At 34.6% G+C, this 5,199-nt stretch overlaps 1 annotated feature.

Moving 5' to 3' along the window:
- Nucleotides 2,767-2,936: an enhancer, noted in NCBI's record as "experimental_73174 CRE fragment used in MPRA reporter constructs". NCBI's record gives its function as "activates a minimal promoter by MPRAs in K562 erythroleukemia cells, with activity observed for both the introgressed and non-introgressed 4:127760032 variant alleles {active_cell/tissue: K562}" and the evidence as "EXISTENCE:reporter gene assay evidence [ECO:0000049][PMID:34662402]".

Below are 5,199 nucleotides of genomic sequence, written 5' to 3' on the forward strand. Positions count from 1 at the left end.
TGTACATCTACAGCGAACTTATTTTCAACAAATATGCTAAGAATGTATATTTGGGAAAAGTGTCTCTTCAATAAATGGTGCTGGGAAAACTGGATATCCATATGCATAAGAATGAAACCAAACTTCTATCTCTCACCATATACAAACATCAAATCAAAATAGATTAAAGAATTAAATCGAAGACCACAACCTATAAAACTGCTGCAAGAAAACATTGGAAAAACTGTCCATAACTTTGGATTGGGCAAAGATTTCTTAAGTAATACCCCACAAGCCCAGACAAACAAAGCAAAATGGACAAATGAGATCACATCAAGTTAAAAAGCTGCTGCACAGCAAAGGAAAGAATTACCAAAGTTAACAGACAAGAAACAGAATGGGAGGAAATATTTGGAAACTACCCATCTGCCAGGGGATTAATAATCAAAATATTTAAGTATCTCAAACAACTCTATAGGAAAATGTCTAAAACTCCAATTAAAAATGGGCAGAATATTTTCATACACATTTCTTAAAAGAAGACATACAAATGGCAAACATGTATATGAAAAGATACCCAACAAAATTGATTATCCAAGAAATACAAATCAAAACTACAATGGGATATCATCTTACCCAGTTAAAATGTCTTTTATTCAAAAGACAGACAATAACAAATGTTGGCAAGTTTGCGGAGAAAAGGAAACCCTGGTACACTGTTGATGGGAATGTAAATTAGCACCACCACTATGGAGAACAATAAAGAGTTCCTCAAAAAACTGAAAATAGAGCTACCATATGATCCAGCAATCCCACTGCTAGGTACATACCCAAAAGAAAGAAAATCAGCATATCGAAGGTATCTGCACCCCAAAGTTTATTGCAACACTATTCAAAATAGCCAAGATTTGGAAGCAACCTAAGCATTCATCAGCAGATGTATGGAATGTGGTACATATACACAATGCAGTACTATTAAGCTATAAAAGGAACGAGATCCTGTCATTTCAAACAACATGGATGAAACCAGAGGTCATTATGTTAAATGAAATTAGCCAGGAACAGAAAGACAAACTTTGCATGCTCTGACTTATTTATGAGAGCTAAAAATTAAAACTAATGAATTCATGAAGATAGAGAGTAGAAGGATGGTTTTGAATACAGAGGAAAATAAAAGAGAGAGAGAGTAGAATGATGGTTATTAGAGGCTGAGAAGGGAGAGAGTAGAATGATGGTTATTAGAGGCTGAGAAGGGTAGTCGGCAGGGGGAAGTGGGAATAATTAATGGGTACAAAAATATAATTATGTAGAATAAATAATATATAGTATTTGATAGCATGACGGTGAATACAGTCAACAATAAATTATTGTACATTTTAAAATAAAGAGTATAATTGAATTGTTTATAACACAAAGAAAGGATAAATGCTTGAGGTGATGGATACGCCATGAACTATGGTGTGATTAATATGCATTGTATGCCTGTATTAAAATATTTCACATACCCCATAAATATGAACACCTACTATGTACCCACAAAAATTGAAAATCAAAAAAAAATTAAAAAATCAAAAAAGTAAAAAACTATAAAAAAGTTACTAAATAGCAAGTAACTAAAAAAAGTTACTAAACAGCACGTTCCTTGCTATTTAGCAAGGATATAGGTGACTGAGTACTATAAAAATATGTAGACAATAACAGAAAAAAGAGAAATTAAGAGAAATATATCAATATGGTAAGAGTATGCAGCATGGCATGGTTGAAATAGTCCTGGTATTTGTAGTTGTAAGATGTTTCATTTTTCCTATAGCCTGTTAATATGTGTTTGTATGATCATGACTAAATCATTTAAATTCACTCATATCCAGACCTGAAAATTAATAATGATAATAATAAAATCCCTATTTATTACAATATTTGTTTTAAAAATCAAATAAGATAATTCATCTGAAAAAATTCTTTGGAAAGCTTTATGTAAACATTATTATTTGTCCTTTTACAAATATTATCATATGTGGCATTTAAATAATGGTTAAATATAAATATATATTATAGAAACAAACATTTATTCTAAGAGCTTAGAATAACTGTCAGGATAGAAGACATAGTTTTGGCAGTTGTGTATAGGAAGAAGGCAAAGGCTGCTTTTTTATATCTGAGGTTATCTATACACATAATGATTATTTCATACCCTTCAGGTTTCAGTGAATTTATATCATAGGGTTCAGTTCACTAGGACTAGGACTAATGGAGATTTGGGGACTACTCTTAGGACTAATAGAGACTTGGGGAGAATAGTTCCAAAATCTCCATTAGTCCTAGGAATAATAGATGGTGTCAACTATCTCAGTGGTTTGTTCATATCCATCTTTCTCAAAAGCTTGGGTAGATTTTTGTGCAAGAACAATGAACTTTTAAGTTGGATAGAAAATCCTCTAGTAGTGAGAAAATGTGCACAGATGGTTGATGAGGTCCAGAGGTGTACTCCAAAGGCAGCTTATTCTACTTAGGGGCACGGAAAACTTAGACATTAGAAAGAATTTTTTTTTTTTTTTTTTTTGAGATGGAGTCTCACTCTGTAGCCCAAGCTGAAGTGCAGTGGCATGTTCTCAGCTCACTGTAATCTTCACCTCCCAGGTTCAAGCGATTCTCCTGCCTCAGCCTCCTGAGTAGCTGGCATTACAGGCACCCAGCACCACACTCAGCTAATTTTTGTAATGTTAGTAGAGTTGGGGTTTCACCATGTTGGACAAGCTGGTCTCGAATTCCTGACCTCAGCTGATCTGCTCACTCTGGCCTTCCCAAATGCCGAGATTGCAGGCATGAGCCACCGCGACCAGCCACGAAGGAGAATTCTTAACAAGGATCTTAATTGTCTAAAATGATGTTAATAAAACCCTACTAGCAAACCTGAGAGGAGTTTGAATATTCTTTATCTTGGATCATTTCTTATTCAGTGGCAAAATGAATAGGGTGTTTTGCTTGAATTGGAGTTGCATGAAACATGAAAATCAGGAAAATTCATTAAAACTCTAAGTTTGACAGTGCGTGTAGCACTATAACTAAGCAACCAAAAAATATATTTATCCAGGAAAAGGGAAATTGAGTTAAAAGACACGTGTGTCCTAAATAGTTGTATACAGAAACACTAGCAGACACACACACAAAAAAACAAGGGTAGCCTGGAATATATTTAGAAGAATAAATGATGTTATAAAAGGCAACCATCCAAAAGAACTATAAAAGGAATTTTATGACTCATGCATCTCTCTAATTGTGACTTTGGAGTTACAGACACAGTTTCTGATGAGGAAAATATATAAGAAATCTACCACTAAATGGCATAGAAGGTCAAATGATGAGGCACTAGCAAAATATAACTAGACACATTAAAAAGAAAAGTCAAAAACTTAAATGCAGTCACCTCACTCCTTTCTACCCTATGTTCCCAACACTATTCCTATATGTCACATTCATGCTCACACAGGCAGATAGAGGTACAAGGGTCATTAACTTCACTTTGAGAGAGTAAAATAACAATGTGTTGATAACATATAGGACAGCACATTAAGAAACAAGTTTTGTTTTGCTTTGTTTTGTTTCGCCATAGAGATTGTGTGGTATACTCATTTGCAATCATAATACATTTGGATGACTTCTCTGATTTACACAGATTTTACTGATTTACTCAGTTACTGCTTATTGAAATCCTACTAGACAGGCCAAGTCAACCTTGAAACCAAAGAACAGCATATCCAATCTCTATATGGCTCTATAAGAAGGACAGTTCAGAAGAGTACAGTTTTTAGGCTATTCTTTCCTGGTCTCCCTAACACCTAGCAAAATCTTCAAAACAGTTCATAAAATGGCCAGAACTTAAGTTGTCTCAATGTCAACAATCTGTATGTATTTGGGGGTTGCTCAGGTATATAACAAATGTGCTCATGATCAAGTTTTTTCTAGCTGCTACCACTGGTCATCTTTGCCAATGTTCCACCATAAAGAGCAATGAAAAAGCTCTGGTCTCTGCTGGCATCACCTATGAGTGCTGAAGGACTCGTGGCCAAAGCTGTGTGCTTCTGTGGAAATGTCTGGTGGCAGAATGGGGTTAGTGTACCCCATGTTTTACTCAGCTTAGTGAAATGCATCTTTTAGGTTTTATGCCAACTCACTGGGACATAGACCTAGCATAGACCCTAGCCAAGGAGAGACTCTATTCATTGTTCCTTTACCCATCTAAAACCTAAGTTTCTCTGTACAGTTCAAGCCCATGATGCCTAGCAAATTATTTTATTACAATTAGGTTGTCATTATCTGCATTGTCAACATTGTCATTGTTATTGTTTTGTTGACTGATTCCTCAAAACTACCTTCCTGCCACTTTTAGGGTTGGCCAGATGTGACCAAAAGCATGAGGTCTTTTCAAGGAGGCTCTTCAACCCAGTGTAAATGAACTTCTTTGCAGCCTTTCCCACTAGTTCATCAAATGTGCCCAGATATACCTGAGCACTGGCAATGAAATGAAGGCTCAAACATGGTTTAAGATCCCCATTGTGCACATTTGTGTTTTGGAGCAGATGACTGGACTCAACTTCTACAAAGGCTAATCTCTTCATGCCTATCAATACTAAAAACTCTCCCTTGGCTACCTATATTTGCATTAGTGTTTCAGAAAGTGCATTTCTTGGAACCTATGTCAATAAGGGGTTCCATGAAAAAAAGTTTGATATGATTGGAAAGAACTACATTTTGTATTTCCCTACTGGAATGTTTGAATTAGCATATTAAAGACCTTTGCTCATCTGGAGAGTTTTTTTTTTTCCAAAACCAATTAACTTTTACCTTCCTTCATGTATCTTTCTCTGCAAGCCTCTTCACTAAATTATTCTCATGTGCATATATATTAATTTTTAATATATAATTTTATAATTATTACACAAACAACAATGTATTTTTTAAAAATTTTTAGCTTTTTACTTTTAAATAATTATAGAAGGATATAAACATAGTACAAAGAGTTTCTATTTATCTTCACTAAGCTTCCCTAAAAGGTAGCATGATACATAATTGTAGTAAAGTATCAGAATCAGATAGTAACAGTGATAGTATGCTGTTAAATAATCTACAGAAACCATTTGTCCCACTAATACCTTTATGATCCAGGATAAAATTGAGGATCTCATTTGCATTTATATGCCAAATCTCCTCGTTTTTTTCTAA

Source organism: Homo sapiens, chromosome 4 (genome assembly GCF_000001405.40).
Source record: "Homo sapiens chromosome 4, GRCh38.p14 Primary Assembly".
Lineage (NCBI taxonomy): Eukaryota > Metazoa > Chordata > Mammalia > Primates > Hominidae > Homo > Homo sapiens.